A 20,991-nucleotide genomic window follows, 5' to 3' on the forward strand; every position below is an offset into this window, starting at 1 on the left:
AGCACTTCAAGTGTGGACAGTGCATGTGAGAAACTAAATTTTAAATTTTTGTGAAGTTTTAGTTAATTTAAATAGCCCAATGTGCTACTGTACAGCTATTTAAAAATATATTTAATAGCTGCACTGCTACTGTAGAGCACAACTGTTAAAAACCTGTTTCAAGTTATATTTGGGATGCTAAGAATGTACATTCCATTTTAACAGTTGCTGGGTACCTCAAGCCGCGGGGAATCAGAAGTAGCCAGGGTTCCTAATAATGTAAACTATTCTTTAGCCTAGTCTGGTTTGGTTTCAAATTACTACCCTTCTTTCCTTCTATTTTTTTTCTTCCAAAGTCTGTTTCTTTCTGCTGTTACAAAACAGAGCTCCTTTCCCTTCCAGTTCACTTCAAAACTCCCTCTCCCTCCTTGCTCTTGCTGTTCTCTTCAAGTAAGCCCATGGTATCTAAAGATACCTACATCCTGGTTAATACTACAAACTTTAGAATCCAACAGGTCTAGATTCAAATCCTAACTCTACCATCATTCAATAAATGGCTGTTATCAAGATCATTATTATTCTTATTGTCAGAAACAACAGAGAAATAGGAAATAGTAATAAAACTGTTGCTTGCCACTTTCTTTGTTTTCCCTAAAGCAAATGCAAGGACTAAAAAAAGATAAATCAACATTACTAAATAACAACTAAATTGATCAAGTCTCCTATTAGAGTGTGAGTGTGTGTGTTTGTTTTAAGAGAAACAGTCTTGCTCTGTCGTCCAGGCTGGAGCGTGGTGGCACAATTACAGCTCACTGCAGCCTTGAATTCCTGGGCTCAAGCAATCCTCCTGCCTCAGCCTCTCAAGTAGCTAGGACTGCAGGTGCACACCACCACATTCAACCATTTTTTTTTTCTTAAGACGGAGTCTCGCTCTGTCGCCCAGGCTGGAGTGCAGTGGCGCATCTCAGCTCACCGCAACCTCCGCTTCCCAAGTTCAAGCAATTCTCTGCCTCAGCCTCCTGAGTAGCTGGGATTACAGGTGCCCGCCACCACGCCCAGCTAATTTTTGTATTTTTAGGAGAGACGGGGTTTCACCATCTTGGCCAGGCTGGTCTTGAACTCCTGACCTCGTGATCCACCCGCCTTGGCCTCCCAAAGTGCTGGGATTACAGGCATGAGCCACCGCGCCCGGCCTCAACTAATTTTTTTATTTGTAGAGATGGAGTCTCACTCTGTTGCCCAGGCTGGTCTCAAATTCCAGACCTCAAGCAATCTTCCCACCTTGGTCTCCTAAAATGCCGGGATTACAAGCATGTGCCACTGTGCCCAGCCTTCTAGTGATATTTTGTCAAAAAGGTAAAATCAGATTCTCTGGTTACACAGAAAGAAGAGGGATATAAATGGCCACGAGGAAATATCACACTATTACCAATCCTACTCCCAAGCCCAATCCTGCCATGACAGACCCTACTATGGATGAGCACTGATATGATAAATGAGAGACAGAGGTGAATAAAAGGGAAAGTAGAAGCAGTCTCTATGTTGGGCACACTTATGCCAAGGGCATACCAGTCCCCAGAATTAGTTTCTAGTTCAGTTTCTAAGAAGATTATCAGTGACCTGATTGCTTGTTAGCAGTTGATCAACAAAAGCAATTTCTAGGAATCTTTCATATTCACTTCCTCCACTGTGGACCTATGTTAAGAAAAGGACCAAGCACCATTCACTGATGAACAAATTATCCTATTATCTTGTGCTTACCAGATAAATGGAAAATTAAGAAGCTGAAGTCACCCACATTTACAGGTCTTTTAATAAAATCAGTTTCCTATATCAATCCAGAAAGTAAGGATATGTTTCAGAACGTCTCTAAAATTCTCGTGCAGTGTGGAAGCGAGTGCCAAAATAATCCATAATGATGCATGTCACCTCACACTATGCTCTACAATGATCAAAAACCTAATTATTGAAACAAATCATTTTCTAAAGAGTAAAATGAATAAAGAATAAAACACTTTCAAAGTGAAAGGCAAGCCAGAAATCGTCAGCCAGACAATGAAGACTGAATTGAAAATAGGACAAGTTTTTCAAAGCTAATACATTTATTTAGAAAGTTCATCAAGTGTTCTAAAAAAAGAATTAATTTTCCTGCTTCCTTCTTCATTTAATGTAGCATCATCTCCTTAACAGAAATTGTACTGTTGCATGCAGCAAGGTCACCTACATGTTGAAAAAAATTATAAAATATAATTCTCAAACTGTATTTAACATGAATATGAGGTGATTAAAGTTGGCATTACATTCCAAAATATATCAAAAGTGAGATCAAGGAGTTCCAGTTCCAGGTAAGATGGAATAAACACATCCCACCTTGTTAATCTCACTGAATGAAACTACAAAATACTGACAGAATGAATGGAGCAGCTATATGAAGACTCAGGAGTAAATAATAGCATATGGACTAGAGAAGACACCAGAATCTGATGCATCATCAAACTGTCAGTAAGTTTACCACCTTTTCTCCATCCAGAATCCCCTGGCCTGGGATTAATAAAGCCTGAAACCTAGAAAGTAGGCACTGGTAACAACAGAGAGCAAGCTCTAAGAGAATCCCTCTAAATATAAAGTGAGGTGGGTAAGGGGGAGGGGAGCTGGGGGTAAGGAGTGTCTCCTTCCTAATGTTCAGAAAGAGAGGGGGAAACTGCTCCTTTTTTTTTGTTTTCCCCCTTTCTCTGTTCCTCATGTCCCAATTCCCAAATGATCTGGTGATGGTAGTGGGTGCAACAGTGGCAGCAGCAGGAACCTAAAACTCTTAAGAAAAGAGAGAGATGAACCATCCTCACCAAATAAAAAAACTCTGGGCCAATCTTGTTGACTTCTGTCTTCCTGTTACTTGGATCCAGACACAGTTACAGAAAATGGAGTAAATGAAAACCAATTTTCTGGCCAAAAGACAGAAAAGACTGTCCCAGGGATCTAGAAAATACCATGGATATAACAGAGAGAAAAGAACTCAAGAAAGTAACAGCTGTTTTTGAACTCCTAACTCACCCAAGCTGAACGTATGTGGATTTAAACCCAAGCAGCATACCACCGACTCTGAAAACTGAAATATAAGATAAACCTCCACACATGTCACAGACTGGCTACTGGGTAGCGCATATTGAAAAAGTATAAATAGTAATGTAAAGTTTTGAAAACAGAACTGAAGTTAAAAAACTACAACCTACAGAAAGCTAATTGGAACTTGTGACCAACCTGAACCCAACTGGATCAACTGCCTGTAAAAATAAAAATATTGGCTGGGCACAGTGACTCAAGCATGTAATCCCAGCACTTTAAGAGGTCAAGATGGGAGGACTGCTTAAAGCTAGTAGTTAGAGACCAGTCTGGGCAACAAAGTGAGATCCTCTCTCTACAAAAAATAGAAAATAAAGTAGCCAAGCATAGTGGTGTGTCACTGTAGTCCCAGCTAATCAGGTGACTGGGGCAGGAGGATCCCTTGAGCCCAGGAGTTGAAGGATGAAGGAAAGTACAATCATGCCATGCACTTCAGCCTGGATGCGACAGCAAAACCCTGTCTCTTAAAAAAAAAAAAAAAAAAAAAATCCAAAAAACAAAAACAAAAACATCAACATTTTCCATAGCATTTAAACAAAAGACAAAGTTTTGTAACATAATATTCAAAATGTACAGAACACAATCCAAAATTACTTGGCATAGAGAGAGGTGGGAAAAATAACACTCTCATGGGAAAAGACAATTAAAAGAAAACACCACCAAGATGATACAGCTGGGTGAATTATCTAAAATGAATTACCTAACAAGCAGACAAAGATTTAAAGCCAGTATATATATATATATCGATATATATATATATAGATATATATATAGATATATATATATATAGATATATATATAGATATATAGATATATATAGATATATATATAGATATATAGATATATATATAGATATATAGATATATAGATATAGATATATAGATATATATATAGATATATAGATATATAGATATAGATATATAGATATATCCCAACAAGTATAAGCAAATACTTTTGAAACAAATGGAAAGCCAAAAGATCACAGCAAACAAACAGAAGACATAAAGAACAACCAAATGGAAACCAACAAAAAGTGAAAACGGAAATAAAAATACACTGAATAGACTCAACAGAAGAATGGAAATAAAAGAGTAAAGAGTCAGTAAACTTGAAGATAAACCACTAGAAATTACCCAACCTAAAAAACAAAGAGAAAAACATTGAAAAAAAAATATTAAAGGCTTAGGGACCTGTGAGGCAGTACCAAAAACCCAACATTCACATCAAGAATGCAAGAAAAGGAAAATCACTGCAGAAAAGAAGAAAAAAGAAAGTAGAAAGAAGAAGAAAAAGAAGAAGAAGAAGAAATAATGGGTGGAAACTTCCTGAAATTTGGTGAAAGGCATAAACTGCTACATTTAAGAAGTTCTCAAAACCTCAGACAGAATAATCCCAATGAAATCCATGCCTGGACACACATCAGAGTCAAGCTACTGAAAGTTACAAAGGAAAACCTTGAAAGCACCCAGAAAAAACAATGATGCATTACTTACGAGGGGGAGGGAGTTTAATGATTTGAATCACCGGTGATTTCTTATCAGAAACCATGCAAGTCAGAAGAAAGGGGAACAACATCCTTCAAATGCTAAAATGGAAAAGAACTGTAAACCTAAAATCCTCTATCTAGTGAAAATATCCTTCAGGAATGAATGTGAAACAAAAGGTATTCAAAGTGGAAGAAAAATGATGAGAATTCTTTTCCAGCTCTAAAAAAATTCTTAAATGAAGTTGTGTCAGAAGAAAAACAATGTTAGGAATGATGGAAGATCAACAGAAACAGTAAATGCCTGAGCAAACATAGTTAACTATTCTCATCTTGAATTCTTTAAAATAGGTTTGGCATTAAAGCAAATATTTATAACACTTTCTGATAAGATTTCCAATACAGGCATATATACCTCAAAGACATCATGGGTCTAGGTCCAGACCGGAGTAATAAAACAATATTGCAATAAAGCAAGTCACACAAAATTTTTGGTTTCCTAGTATATATGTTTATATTATACTGTAGTCCATGAAGTGTGCAACAGCATTATGTCTAAAAACTGTACATACTTGATTTAAAAATACCTTATTGCTAAAAATGCTAACAATCATCTCAGCAAGGCTTCAGCAAGTCATAATCTTTTTGATGGTGGAGGGTCTTGCTTTGATGTTGATGGTTGCTGACTAATCACAGGATGGTAGTTGCTGAAGGGCAGGGTTGGCTGTGGCAATTCCTTAAAATGAGATAACATTCAAGTATGCCACACTGACACTCCTTTCACAAAAAATTTCTCTGTGTACAAGATGCTATTTGACAGCATTTTATCCACAGCAGAATGTCTTTCAAAATTGGAGTTAATCCTCTCAAACTCTGCCACTGTGTTATCAACTAAGTTTATATACTATTTTAACAATGTTCACATCTTCAGCAAGAGCACATTCCATCTCAAGAAACCACATTCTTTGTTCATCCCTAAGAAACAACTCTTCATTCAAAATTTATCATAAAATTGCAGCAATTCAGTCATGTCTTCAGGCTCCACTTCTAATTCTATAATAGTTCTCCTGCTGTTTATACCACACCTGTAATAGTTACTTCCTCCACACAAGTTTTGAATCCCTAAAAGTCATCCATGAGGGTTGGAATCAACTTCTTCACAATCCTGTTCATATTTTAACCTCCTTCTATGAATTACGAATGTTCTTTATGGCATCTAGAATGGTGAATCCTTTCCATTACTTTGCCCATATCCATCCAAGAAATCACTGTCTGAAGCAGCTGTAGCCTTATGAAATGTATTTCTAACAGAATAAGACTTAACAGTCAAAATTACTTCTTGATCACTGGGTTGAAAAATGGATGTTGTGTTAGCAGGCATGGCAACATTTATCTCCGTGTATTTCCATCAGAGTTCTTGGATGGCTACGTGCACTGTCAATAAGTAAGTACTATGTTGAAAGGAATCTTTTTATCTGAGCATTTGGTCTCAACAGTGAGCTCAAAATATTCAGTAAACCATGCTGTAAACGGATGTGCTGTCATCCAAGCTTTGTTGTTCCATTTATAGAGCACAGAGTAGATTCAGTATAATTCTTAAGAGTCCTGGAATTTTCAGAACGGTCAGTGAGCACTGGTTTATAAATTTATAGTCACCAGCTGCATTAGCCCCTAACAAGACAGTCAGCCTGTCCTTGGAAGCTTTGAAGCCAGGCATTGACTTCTCCTCTCTACTTATGAAAGTCCTGGATGGCATCTACTTTCAATAGAAGGCTGGCTCATCTGCATTAAAAATCTTTTGTTTAGTATAGCCACTTTCATCAATGATGTTAGCTAGGTCTTCTGGATAACCTGATGCAGCTTCCGCATCACCACTTGCTGCTTCGCCTTGCACTTTTATGTTATGGAGATGGCTTCTTTCCTTAAACTTCATGAACCAACCTCTGCTAGCTTCAAACTTTTCTTCTGCAGCTTCCTTATCCCTCTCAGACTTCACTGGCTTGAAGAGCGTTAGAGACGCGCTCTGGATTAGGCTTTGAGTTAAGAGAATGTTACGACTGGTTTGACCTTCTACCCAGATCAGGCAAACTTTCTTCATATCAGTGACAAGGCTGTTTGGTCTAATTTCAATACTGTTGAGAAACAGGGAGGTCCAAGGAGAAGGGGAGAGATGAGAGAACAGCTGGTCAGTGGAGCAGTCAGCACACAGGCAAACATAAGTTACCTGTCTTATATGGGCGCTCTTCGTGGTGCCCCAAAATAATTACAATAATAACACTAAAGATCACTGATCACATATCACAACAGATATAATAATAACAAAGATATTTGAAATACTGTGAGAATTACCAAAATGTGAAAGAAACATGAAGTAAACACAAGTTGTTGGAAAAACGGTGGCAAACCTGCTTGATGCAGAATTGCCACAATCTTCAATTTGTAAAATATGCAGTATCTACAAAACACAATAAACTGAACTGCAATAAAAAGAGGTATGCCTATATGTGTACATTTAACACAAGATAACTGCAACATAAAGGGGGAAAGGTAAAGGGACATACATGGTGGTAAGACCTCTATTTCACTTCAAGTGGTAAAATATCAATTCTAAGTAGACTAAAATTTTAAGTATGTATAATTCTTAGAGCTACCACTAAAAACATTAGTCAACGTCTTGTGTCGTTCCACCTTCATTTCAAGAAGGGTGAGTAAAGTACAGTAAGATATTTTCAGAGAGCCCACATTCACATAACTTTTATTACAGTATATTGTTATAATTGTTCTATTATTTGTTATTGTTAATCTTTTCTGCACCTAATTTATAAGTTAAACTTTATCATGAGTATGTACATATAGGAAAAAACATGATAGACATAGAGTTTGGTACTATCTGTAGTTTCAGGCATCTACTTGAAATATATCCCACATGGAAAAGGGGTAACTACTATACCCAGTTCCCTTCAAATCAGTCCAAGTTGGCCAGTTAAAATGGAATACTAAAAAAATGTTCAAATAACCCAAAGAAGGAAGTTACAGAGGAACAAAAACAGAGGGAACAAACAGAAAATAGACTTGAACCCAAACATATCCATATTTAAAATATGTGAGATGTAGCAAAAGCACTATAGTATTAAATTTCTTCTATCAGAAAAGGTCTCAAATCAGTAATTTAAACTTGCACCTTAAACTAAAAAAGGAGCAAAGTATATACAAAACTGGCAGAAGGAAGAAAATAAAGGAACAGAAATCAATGAAATTGGAAACAGAAAAACAGATAAAAATCAATGAGACCAAAAGCTCATTCTTTGAAAAGATCAATAAAATTTAAACCTCTTGCCAGACTGATGATGTAGATAGCCTGAATAGCCTTAGGACTATTTGAAGAAATTGAATTTGTAGTTAAAAGCCTTCCAAAAAAGAAACCTCGAGGCCCACATAATTTCCCTGGTGAATTCTAAGAAATATTTAAAGGAGAAATAACACCAAATCAACACAATCTCTTCCAGAAAATGGAAGATGAACACTTCCCAAATCATTTTATGAATCCAGCATTATCCTCATGCAAAAAAAAAATAGTACATGAAAAGAACAAATTTATATTCTGCTCCTCATCAAAACAAAAACTATGGTACATTCAATCATATAATGAAATACTGCTCAGCAATAAAAAGGAATGAACTAGCATTTCATTCAACAAATTGTATGCATCTTAAAGGCATTCTATTTTGTGAAAGAAGCCAGTCTCAAAAGGCAACATATTCTAGAATTGCATTTACATGCAAACCTATAGTGATGAAGAACTTGTTAGCAGTTACCTGGGTTAGGGGAATGTATGACAACACAGTTTTTGGCGGGGGTGGGATGATAGAACCATTGCAAATCTTGACTGTAGTGGTAATACAGATCTATACATGTATTAAAACTCACAGAACTATACACCTCAAAAAGCTCAATTTTACTGTATATAATAAAAGTTAAACTTTCTTAAAAAGACTAACATGAGAGCAATTTTTTGAAAATATTATGAACTAAAATATAAATTGTTAACATTTTCAGGAAAGGCACTTTTTCACTGTCAACTTCATAGTTTCAGTTGTTCCAATTCTTATAACTACTGCCAACACAGAAGGCACCCAAATTATACTGCCACAAGATGAGCTTGGGAGGGGGTGTTTGAATGTTTTATCTCTGCTTTCTCCATTTCTTCAGCACTGACAGTTCTGAGAGACAACAGATATCTATAACCTGTACAGACACAGAGATTAAAAACAACAGGCTCAATTTAACAACTGCACTAAATTCTAAGGCAGAGTTGCAGAAACAGATCAGTTCCAAAACCCTAATGATAGCATGGGTGATCACCAAAAGAAGACATCTATTATGACTCCCAGTTAGGTTACACTCTTATGTGACAGTCATCCACTCTATGGGAAGAATATATTTACAACGCAGTACTTTATTTAAGAAAATACAAATGAGTGCCTTTTATGTGCCTGGATAGTTTACCATGAGAGTCTGAAAAATCATCAAATGACAGGCTTCCATTACTTCTCCAAATAAGAAACAACTGTAAACAGTAGCATATGTCCTTTGATAACTTCAATATATTTATGCAATTGTTGTCTAATAACCCCACCCCTGCTTAAGTTATGGAGGACAGAACACAAAGAGTTGGTTACACAATCTTCATTTATCCTCAAGATTCTCATCCCCATTTACTGAAGTACAATGACATAACTAATTTATATGCTAAGGGCAAACCTAAAGCTCTCTTATATTTATTTCCGCCAGGCAATTTCTGAATGCCTGTTACAGGTACTTTTAAGGGATGAGTTATACATTTGGAAAAGTAGAGTTTACACGTAGAAAACTAAACTTTATGCCTATTAGTGACAAAAAGCAAAAGAGCAGTGAGATGTTACAGACTCATTTTACAACCAAACTTCCCAAGAAGACTACAGGAGCACTTGGGTCAACAGCACTGTATTTTCACATCTGGGAGGCAGAATAACAAAGAGAAGAAAGGCATCTTGGATGGACGTATGGAAGTAGAGGAAGAACTGGTGAATTTTTATCCTTTTAAGAAAAACAGGAAAACTGTCAACTATATTTTTACTTCAACACTTGGTGTACCCTGGAAAGACTTCTGAGCAGAAATGACAATGCCTGTCCATCTACTCACCTCCCAAAAAAGGGAGATGGGAAAATTGTGTAGGGCACAGAAAATACTTGCAAATAATAAAGAAAGCTCTCTTAGTTCATTTGTGCTGCTGTACAAAAACAAACAACAAATAAAAACAAACAAACAAACAAAAGACACTTGAGACAGTTAATTTATAAAAAATAGAAATTTCTCACACAGTTGTGGAGGCTAAGAAGTCTAAGATCAAGGCATCAGCAGGTTCAGTGCCTGGTGAGGATCCGGTCCCTGCTTCCAAGATGGCACCTGTTACTGCATCTTCAAGTATTAGGTGGTGGGGCTTTTAGGAGGTGATTAGGCTGTGAGGCTATGCCCTCATGGATGGAATTAGTGCCTTATAAAAGGGCCCTGTTAGTTCTCTCCAGCCCTTATAGAAGGCACTAATTCCATCCATGAGGGCAGAGCCCTCACAGCCTAATCACCTCCTAAAAGCCCCACCACTTAATACTGTTGCATTCAGGATTAAGTTTCAACATGAATTTTGGAGAGGGCATAAACATTGAAACCACAGAAAAATCCTAAGAGTTAAAGGGGGAGAATTAGTGAAAATAAATGACCACATAAAAATGCTTGTCACAGAAAAATGAGAATGGATTTAATAGGAAAAAAGGGATGATGTTCAAAACACTGCTTCTGAAATTCTACCCCGTTCTGTTTAAACAAGATTTTTAAAACTTTACAGAGTTTCAATTCCAGAAATTAGTTTATTTTGCACAAATGCTGAAAGTTACTCTTTCGTTGGTTTCTTGAGAACTGATCACTTTCTTCATACTAATCCCTTACAAATTGGTACAAGTAGTTATTATAAAACCAAGACAGAAAAAAGCAATTATCTTGCACAGTGTAAACAGGACATCTACTCTTTTCTCTAGCTATGCCTATTATCTGAATTTCTTAAACACAAACTCATCCTTCTAGGTATCTCAGAGATAAGTACAATTATGTTACATAAATGTATATGTATCAATGTGCCCTCATATGAATATTTTACACATAATTTAAAGAAGCATTTCACAATCCTACTCCTATGAAATACAACTCTAACCCAGATACCGATTGTATTACATACTATGCAAACTTAAAATTAAAAAAAAAAAAATTCTGCCACATTAGCATAAGGCATGAATAGATATTGGGATTCTTTCCTAAATGTAATCATATCACAAATGCTACAAATGCCCATAACCTAGATTTTTGTGTAAGCGTTTCATATTATTTTTGGCTACTACTTTCTAACAGGTCACGAATGATCTCATTTAACTTTTATAGAACCTGGTGAAAGAGGCATCTCAATTTTACATACAATGAAAATAAGTAACATGCCCAAGATCGAAAAGCCAGCATTAAGTAGTAGGACTGGAACCCATTAGCAATTTACCAACAAATAACACAAATATTAATCCAAGTCACCAGAAATCATGAGTATTCAAACAACAAGAAGTGGTAACATTCTTAATGATTCAAATGACTGCAAAAATGTTAAGCTTTTAACCTGCCTTCTTTATCACTATATTACTAGGATCCAACAGCATGCCTTCAAAGGAATGCCCAATTATTTATGGATATGTTTAGCAACCATAGCACATGTTATTTGTCAGGCATGATTCTAAACACACTTAGTCCCTCTCTCTACATATATTAACAAACCACTATGATCTTGAGAGATTAACTTCATTTTACAGTGATACTGTCATTACCCCCATTTTATTGTGGAAACACCTAGCAAGTGATGGAGCTGGGACTGAAATTCAGATAATCAGGCTCCCTTATGCTCTTAACCATTGACACTAAACGGCCTAATACACAAAAGGATCTCTATAAGGGTCATAAGTTACCCAACAACTCACCTGAACATCATATCCTTACAGTATTTATGTAACTAATTAAGTAACATTTATCTGAGTCCAGTGGTAATAAATAGCAGCTAACTCTATGTTCCATTCTCTTAAATTAGCTCTATTTAGTGAGTGACTCTCATGCCCTTTTAGTGCAAAGAACCTGAGAGTAGAATAACTGGATTAAGACTGTCCTGCTCCACCAGGTTCCAAAATACCTGTGTTTGGGAGGAGTGTTCCTCCTCCCAAAATACACTAATAGGAAAAACTAAACTGATATTAGTAAGATACTAGTTATCAATGTCTTAGGACATAACCTAATATATCACATCATTTAGAATAGTTTGTTTTAGGGAAACAGGGCAGGTGATTTATAAATTAACAAAATAAAGAAATATTGTCAAAGAGTATATATAGTTGGTTTTTGGAAGAGACAACTCAGACCAAAATAATGCTGTTAGAGATTGAGTGATATTCGGATTATCACCTAAATGTAATCTTATTATAAATGCTACAAACTGCCAACTACCTTTTCAAGTGAAATTTCTAACTGGCCAGTCTTCTGCTATGTTCACCATGACTAACACAGGATATGATTTGTTCGACACCATAAAAGTATATCAGTAAGACATGTTAATGAGAAAGGAAACAGGGATGAAGAGTCAAAAACGATGAATGAACTCATCCCTAAAACAAACTATTCTAAATGATGTGATGATGTAGAGAACAGTCTTACAAATCCATGCCAAAGAAATAACCCTGATATTAATCCAAGTCCCTTAAAGTTGTATCAAAATAATCTCTAAACAAATAGCCCCTTACAGCTCTGAGATTCCTGTCTCCCAAAAAGATCCAAAAACCGAAACATCATTCTCCCATTTTCTGAGGAATAAATATAATCCGTCATCCTTGAATAAATACGTTTTTGTTTTTTATCTCATTTCCCCAAGTTATTCTAGTTACAGATTAACTCTAGACTGTTCACCTATCTCTAACAAAAATTTAAAAAATTAGCCGAGTGTGGTGGCATGCCTGTAGTACTAGGTACTCTGGAGGCTAAGGCAGGAGGATTACTTGAGCCCAGGAGGTTAAGGTTGCAGGGAACTATGGCCATCCCATAGCATTCCAGCCAGGGGACAGAGTGAGACCTTGTCTCTCCCCATACCTCCCAAAAAAGGAAGAAAATAGAGGAACAAACATTATTATATTAAATGTAAATAATGTAAATAATCGTGCACACCAATTAAAAGAGATTATCAAACTGGATTTTAAAGAAAGACTGAATTATATGCCTGTCTACAAGAAACTCCCTTTAAAAATAAAGATAGGTTAAACATATAGAACAAGATATGCCAAATAATGCAAACAATAATAAACGATGGTTGGAATGGCTATATTAATATGAACTATATTTTAAACCTTTTTAAAGAGTCTAAGTGGATTTGTTTACCCTCCATTCAGTTTTAATTATATCTAGTTCTGTGGCAGTTTTGAAACAATGAAGCTATTTCGTTTCATCCATCTCCCTCATATTACTCAAGCTGATGTCTTAAGTAACTGGACATGCACAACAGTTTCTAAAGAAATATGACCTATTACATTAAAACTGTCCTATCTGAAGGGTTTTCTATGATGAAGTTTTCAGGTGAGTGATAGCTTATAAATTTTTTGAGTCATTAATATTTATTCCCCATTATAACAGCTTACAGAATCATTCTTCTTGACAAGCCATCTAGGCATACAAAATAGTGCTATACGTATATTTACATTAAAAAATCACCTATCGGGGCCGGGTACAGTGGCTCATGACTGTAATCCCAGCAATTCAGGAGGCCAAGGCGGGCAGATCACTTGAGGTCAGGAGTTCGAGATCAGCCTGACCAACATGGTGAAACCGTTTCTACTAAAAATACAAAAATTAGCCGGGTGTAGTGGTACACGCCTGTAATCCTAGCTACTCAGGAGACTGAGGCAGGAGAATTGCTTGAACTTGGGAAGCAAAGGTTACAGTGAACCGAGATTGTACCACTGCACTCCAGCCTGGGTGACAGAATGAGACTGTGTCTCAAAACAAACCAAACAAAACCTATCATTTGTAGACTGTTTCATTGATCCCAGAGAATTTTTATAACAGTGTTGTTTTGGCCGCTGTCTTTCATGTTTGTACTTCTGTTTTGGTTTACTTTAAGCTGCTAAATAACTACTGTGGTCAGGGTACTGAGCCTGGTATTGGAATATAAAGACGGATTAAGATACTGTATCACTTCCCGGTACAAGGAGTAGACTTGGAGACATAGGATACAGAAGATGAACAAGATAGCATATGCCAAGTGCCAAATGTGAGAAATAGGCAAAGAGTTTCTAAGACATTTTTTTAAATGTACCAGTGGGGGAGTAACTAACGACTGAGGCAAGTAAAGAAAAATAATGATAATAAAGTGCAAAAAGTTAATGTTCTTAAGTCCAATTAGGACTTACGTTGTGTTTCCTTAGGTGGACTTCAAGTCTATCTCTCTCCCATTTATTTGTTTTGAAAGTGGTTTATAAGATGTTTAAATTGGGGATTTTGAGCTTAATGTAGTAGCAGAAAGGTGGCAGTGGTGGAGAGATGGAAAGTACGAGAAACTAGTTAGGAGAAAATGGAAAGAAGACTAGATATCAAAAAAGAAGGCCTGATTAGGACTAAGCTCCCCTAGGGCACAGACCTAATAGACACATAGATATCAACAAACCTGGAGTTCAGAACTATGGGTAGAGTGAATGCCTACAATATACTACGTAATGAACTACACATTCTGGCATGCCTTTCCACATTTAATCCTCAAAATACCAGAACACGATACATTTAAAAAATTAAAACACCGTCAATACTGAACAACAGAACACTGCATTAAAAAGGCTTAAAAATCACCCACTAAACAAAGCTAACTTAAGAGTATGAACAGAGACAGAGTTAGCTGCTATTACCACTGGACTTAGATAAATGTTATTAAAAAATTAGGTGAGGAAATTGAGATACTGATTAGATCACCTATAAAAGGTGACAATCAGTCATCTAGGACAACCAGAGTTCAAAACCAGGTCTGACTGACTCCTAAACCTAAAACACACACACACACACACACACACACACACACACACACACACAAAGACTGAACTAATTTTTACCTTACTGTCAAAATTACAATAAAAAGACAACCCTAAAAGTACATCTGAGAAGTCTAGGGTAAAAGAAAGGATAAAAAAGGAAGAAGTTTAGTCTTATCCCTAATAGAGATGTGAGTCTTAAGAGGGTTTAAATTTACTCAAGAGGGTTTAAAGATTGAGAACACTTTTAATTTTCACTAAAAGTGTTGGTATAATAATCTTTTACAAAAAGGAATAAGTATAAACTTTAAAAGAACACGTCTGTATGCTGCTATTCTGGCTGGAGGCATTGGAGCCCAAGTTAGTGAGCAAAATGCTCATGTTACGAATAGTGAGGGAACCCAGATTAAGATTCTTTTTACCTTAATAAAAAGAAAAAGGGATTACTTCTTTTTAGACTCCTTCAACTTGGAACAGTCCCCCAGTCTTGACTTTCATGACCTTGTTTGTACTCCTTAAAGCTTATAGATTAGTTCTGTTGCAAAATGTCTTCCAATTTGGGTTTGCCTGATACTTCCTTTTATTTTTTTTCAGATGTAGTTTTCTTTCTGTAGGATGCCAGATATTTCCTTATGGTTAGATTCAGGTTGTACACTATTTGACAGTAATTATGATGTGTTTTTCTCATTGTGTCCTGTCAAATGGCATACAATTTCTGTTTGTCTCATTACTGATGATGTGCACTTTGATAACTTGATTGAGGTAATATCATCCAAGCGTCTTCACTGTAAAGTTACTTTTGTCCCATTGGTAATTAACATGCATTTTTGTGGAAAAGTATTTTGAGACTGTAAAATAGCCCATTCCTTATTAAACTTGCTATTTATTTATTCCGAGATTATCTCAGCTTTGGCTAGTGAAAGCCTTTCAAGATAGTTTCTGTTTTCTTTTGACTTGCTCTTCGCACTTCCTTTTTTTTTTTTTTTTTGAGGTGGAGTCTCACTTTGTCGCCCAGGCTGGAGTGCAGTGTGGTGATCTTGGCCCACTGCAAACTCCACCTCCCAGGTTCAAGCGATTCTTGTGCCTCAGCCTCCCATGTAGCTGGGATTACAGGCATGGGCCACTACACCTGGCTAAATTTTGTATTTTTAGTAGAGACAGGATTTTGCCACATTGGCCAGGCTGGCCTTGAACTCCTGACCTCAAGTGATCCACCTGCCTTGGCCTCCCAAAGTGCTGGGATTACAGGTGTGAGCCACCACACCCAGCCACTTCCTTACTTTTGGACATAAGAAAATGAAGCTCACCTTGTACTTTCCCTGCCCCAGCACTGGAATCAACCATTCCTCCAAAGAGTGGTTGCTTTTAGTGGAGAAAGGTATTTAGAAAACAAGATTTGGATGCTCTAATTATTTCAATGTCTATGTGTAGAAAACCATGAATTGGTACCAATTTCTCCAATTTCAGTCCGCAAGATTTGTTCTTGTTTTCTCCATTACCAAATTTATAACTCCCTTCTCACCAGGAGAACTCTGACTCATTATCATTACTTACTAAATTTGATCAACCCCCTGCATGTGGCCAGTTTCCCATTGCCTTTGCTGTTCCCTACCTTCTTTGCATAACTTTTTTCTCTACTTAGGCTCTGACATCCTGTCCTGGGATGCACCCCTTACCCCATACTTCTTAGATACCCCATACTGAAGATTTTACCATTCTGTTTGAGCTCTAGTACCTTAATCTGATCTAGAGGTTCCTCTAGATCAGTGAAACAACTGAAGGCCGAAAGTCAGATGGACCCAGCTATAGATACTTAGCAACTTCTCTGACACTTAACAAGTCATTTAACTTCTCCAGAGCCCCAGACTCATTTCTGTAAAATGGACTAACACAGTCAACATTGCAAGGCTACCGAAAAGATCAAATGAAAATGTATGTAAAATGTCTACAACAGAGTGGCTGACACATAGTAAATATCTGATAAACATTAGCTATCTTCTGTAATATGGGTGATAATTTCTTAAACTTTGATCTCAATACTTTTAGATCTAGTTAAGCAATTAGAGAAGCATCAATCTGAAAATAAGAACCTTACTGTCCTGCTTGTTCAAAAGGCCAATGAGCTTCACATTGTTACACTCAACAGAATTTTTTTTAGTTCTTACCTTATTAAGCTCTTATCAACACTTGACCCAACTCTCTCTTCTTGACTTCTATCTCCTTGTAACATTCTCTTTCTTTGGTTTCTGTAACACCCCACTCACCCTCTACTTCTCTGATCTTCACGGTATTCTCTGGGAGCTCACATTCTTCCAGCAAAGTTTTTTAAATGTTAGAGGTCATTGTGGTTCCATCCTAGGCCTTTTTTCCCCCAAGTTATATTCCCTCACCTAGGCAATTTCATCCATACCTATAGTTCCAATTACCTGTATGGGAGATTCCAGTTTTCCATTTACAGCCAATACTCTTCCTCTGAATTTCAGAACCATGTATCTAATTGCTTACAGGAACTTCTACCTGAAAGCTCCAAAGGTACTTTAAGCCTGATATGTTAAAACCAAAAGAGCTCTGGTCCTTATCTGGCACAACCCAGGAATGTAATCCAGAAATCATCTTTCAAATTTCTTTCTCCCTCACTTTCAATCTATTAACTAAGGCCTGCTGGTCTCAAATCCCATCCACTGAGCCCATCTCCACAATTATCATCCTAATTCAAGCTATCCTCATCTCTCCCAGACTACTAAAAAAGCCTGCTAACTAATTCTCCCAGATCTCTTGCTGCCTCTCTCCTCCCTTTCAATACACATCACCACAATCCTAGTTTTGCCTTCTGGAACTATAAGAAATTAATATGGCTTCTAAATGACAACATTTTTAACAATAAGATAGTTATACTGCTTGATATGGTTTGGCTGTGTCCCCACCCAAATCTCTCTTGAATTGTATTCCCATAATTCCCACGTGTTGTGGGAGCAACCTGTTGGGAGATAATTTGAATCATGGGGGCAGTTTCCCCCATACTGTTCTCATGGTAGTGAACAAGTCTCACAAGATCTGATGGTTTTAACAGATGTTTCCGCTTTTGCATCTTCCTCATTTTCTCTTGCCACCAACCACTATGTAAGAAGTGCCCTTCTCCTCCCACCAAGATTCTGAGGCCTCCCTAGCCATGTGGAACTGTAAGTCCAATTATACCTCTTTTTCTTCCCAGTCTCAGGTATGTCAGCAGCATGAAATCAGGCTAATGCACTGCTCTACTCTTAGCTGAGGCATTCTTAGCTCCTTCTATATTAAGACAAATGATAGTTTCAAGGTCACATACTGTTATACTCCTCTAAAAACACAGACCCCTTAGGCTGGGTGTGGTGGTTCATTCCTGTAATCCCAGCACTTTGGGAGGCCAAGGCGGGATGATTACTTAGCCCAGGAATTTGAGACCAGCCTGGGCACCAAAGTGAGAGCTGTGATCACACCACTGCGCTCCAGCCTGGGAGACAGCGAGATGCTATCTGAAAGCAAAAACAAAACAAACAACAACAAAAAACAAGGACCCCTGAAATGAACATGGCCCACATGCATGGATATAAGTAACTTGGCAGTTTATGCTACAGACTGAGACTTGCTTAGTCTAAAGTTTCAAACCACAATCACTATTTGTAACGTTTACAGCTGAAAGCAGGTTAATTCATTAACTTACACTGAAGGCATTGTTCAGGTGTTTAGGTGACAAATACTGACAAATGCTGATCTCACAGAAGATAAATCACAGTGAAGAAAATAAACAATAAACCTAAGTTAGATTACACAATATGTTGCAAAATGATAAATGCAATGGAGAAAAATCTAGCATAAAAACAGATACAAAATATCGGGGGAAGGCTGTTGTTTTATACACAGTAGTTAGAGAAGACCACAACAGCGTAGGGGAAAGGAGATTGGAGAAAGGGTGAGGAGATGAAGTCAGAGAGGAAGAAGAGACTTAAATCATAGAGCCTTGTAGACCATAGGAGTATGGAATTTACTATGACTGAGAAGGGAAGCCATTTGAGAAAAGAAGTTACATGACCTGACATTTTATCAGGATCACTCTGGCTATGGAGTGTTAAAGACTGTAGATCAGCAAAGGTCACAGTGACTTTTTAGGAAGATATTTTTGAAAGCAAAATAGTGGTTGTGTTTTTACGTTATGTATTGAATTTTTATGTGTCTATGTACTAGGATTTCATACATTAAGTTCATAGACACAACTTAAAAAAATACAATGCAAAGATGAGTTTTGGGAATAGCAAGAGAATGATACTGGATATTTTAACTCTGGGCTCTACTCAGCACTACTAACAGTTATTACTGCTCAGAAGCAAGACAAGGTGCAAGGTTATTAACTTATTTTGGGGGACAGAGTATAATTAAAAATCTGGATTTTAAGTTTATTTCACTGGGCAAGGTAAGTCAAGGTACAATTTACATCTTAAAAGACAAAAGCAGGTGATAGCAGGGCTTGCTAAAGGGAAGTTACAATGAAAATTATTCTACAGTTGACTTTCTTTTTATTACTTTTATGCCTGCTACTCTCTTTAATTAAGGTGCTACAACTATCTCTGATATACTTTAAAAGTTCAGTATTAAGTTGATGGGTAGTATAGTACTGTATTTTCTGATTACTAAAAGATGTTACTGATGATGAATCAACAGTATCATGTAACTGCACTGATTCATCCTATCTCTGCTGAATAAAAGCACAGGTTTTCCAGAAAACTGTCTAAGCTCTAGTTGGTGCCAAAGGACGATAGAGAGCTAAGTAACTCCTGAAAAGTTTCGATCTTAACACACTAGCCCTATTACCACATGAAGGTATTAACAGAAAAAATTAAAAAATTATCCGTAAAATTTTCTCCATGACATGTTTTCTGGCAACATATTTAGAAACTTTAAATTTTCTTCTACAGTTTTCTTCCCCTTTATACTGAAGAATGTCTTTAAAGCATGAGTATACTTACAGTAAGCAAACATTCAAATTTTACCCCAGTGAAATCTTAAAATGTACTCAAACTCTCAGGCAAAAAGTTCACTATCTGAATGTGAAAAACTGAATGACTGTTAAAATATCTGCAAGCACCAAAAAATATTATAGCTAAAATGCAGCTACCCTAAGAACTGTTTTTAAAAAACTCACATTGCATAAAAAATATAAATTCAGATTATCCGATAGGATAATATAAAACAAAAGAAATCCAAAGACAGTTTCAAGATTTCATTTCTCTTGCTTAGTTAAAACAACAAAAACAAAAGGCCCATGAACTTTTTCTTGCATCTTTTAACCAAAATAGTGACATGATCAAGCCAACTGCCAAAGAAACAGGAAAGAGAAAGCAATTGTTTAGAAACAGACTTGATTACATGTCAAAATTTTAATACAATTACTAATAAAATACAAAAACCAACCGTTATTTTAAAATGTACTGCCCTGATATTCTGCTGCTGAGGTAGGTGGTGATATGTAGAAATTAATTTTTCTTTTAAAACGAAAAAATAATGCATTTATTAATATGCTTTTCCCAAAATTCGGGGAAAATTCCCAAATCGGAGAAAAAAATTTAACATCAGCATCTACTACACAAAGCATTAAAAACATTTTTCAGCAGTTTTGCTTAAGTATCTTAGGTCAGTGGTAGCATGTTAGCCAAAATGTAATCCAAAATGAATGAACAACAGTCAGCTGGTAGACACTGTATGTAATACAATACGGAAATATATTGGAAGTATTTCAAAATTCAACATTTGAATCCGTGAATGTCTAAATCAAGTACTCTAAATCAGGCGTCTACTTTTGAAACAATACTTCAAAATACGTGTTGGTGGCAAGACCGCCAGCCATCTGTAGGAAATCTTTTTAATGGTTCAAAATTCCTAGGTCTCAGAAGGGGCGACTGATTAGGCTAAATTTATATCTCCCGGCCCCGTAGTTGTCAGCCCAGGTAGCGAATTTAAAACACTGGGGGTGGATGAGTAGTTTGAAGTTCAGATCAAGGAGTGAAAAAGGCTGATGCTTAGAAGCGCCGGCTCTTCCCCATTCGCGCACTCGAGAGGTCACGGCGTAGTAAAGTTTGGTTTCACTAGCGGGCTTGGACGCTCGCGACCAAAGTCTCCCAAGAAAAGCCGACACCGCGGTCGGGAGCGCCCGGAAGCTCAGCAGGACACGTTTCCACTGCAGGGAGGAGGGTGTCTGTGGCGGTTCTGGCGTGGAGCCCCTTCCCCCCCCCCCGTAGGACCCTGCACCCGGACGGGGA

At 37.0% G+C, this 20,991-nt stretch overlaps 1 protein-coding gene across 9 annotated transcripts in view, besides 3 other annotated features; it reads right to left on the reverse strand.

The window, feature by feature from the left end:
• SCAF11 (SR-related CTD associated factor 11) overlaps window positions 1-20,991 on the reverse strand; it is a 72,929-nt gene that overhangs the window by 49,890 nt on the left and 2,048 nt on the right. For 2 of the 9 annotated variants that reach the window (XM_047429881.1, XM_011538984.3), the window contains exon 2: window positions 5,170-6,714. The exons of the other annotated variants lie outside the window; for them this stretch is intronic. In XM_047429881.1, the coding sequence (XP_047285837.1) occupies window positions 5,170-5,196 (27 nt within the window). In that variant the 5' untranslated portion in view covers window positions 5,197-6,714. The remainder of the gene's footprint in view (window positions 1-5,169; window positions 6,715-20,991) is intronic. 9 annotated transcript variants of the gene reach the window in all.
• Window positions 17,683-17,732: a silencer, noted in NCBI's record as "silent region_4377". NCBI's record gives its function as "represses an Ori minimal core promoter by ATAC-STARR-seq in GM12878 lymphoblastoid cells {active_cell/tissue: GM12878}" and the evidence as "EXISTENCE:reporter gene assay evidence [ECO:0000049][PMID:35858748]".
• Window positions 20,628-20,697: a silencer, noted in NCBI's record as "silent region_4378". NCBI's record gives its function as "represses an Ori minimal core promoter by ATAC-STARR-seq in GM12878 lymphoblastoid cells {active_cell/tissue: GM12878}" and the evidence as "EXISTENCE:reporter gene assay evidence [ECO:0000049][PMID:35858748]".
• Window positions 20,848-20,897: an enhancer, noted in NCBI's record as "active region_6229". NCBI's record gives its function as "activates an Ori minimal core promoter by ATAC-STARR-seq in GM12878 lymphoblastoid cells {active_cell/tissue: GM12878}" and the evidence as "EXISTENCE:reporter gene assay evidence [ECO:0000049][PMID:35858748]".

The sequence above is a fragment of the Homo sapiens genome, chromosome 12, assembly GCF_000001405.40.
Source record: "Homo sapiens chromosome 12, GRCh38.p14 Primary Assembly".
NCBI lineage: Eukaryota > Metazoa > Chordata > Mammalia > Primates > Hominidae > Homo > Homo sapiens.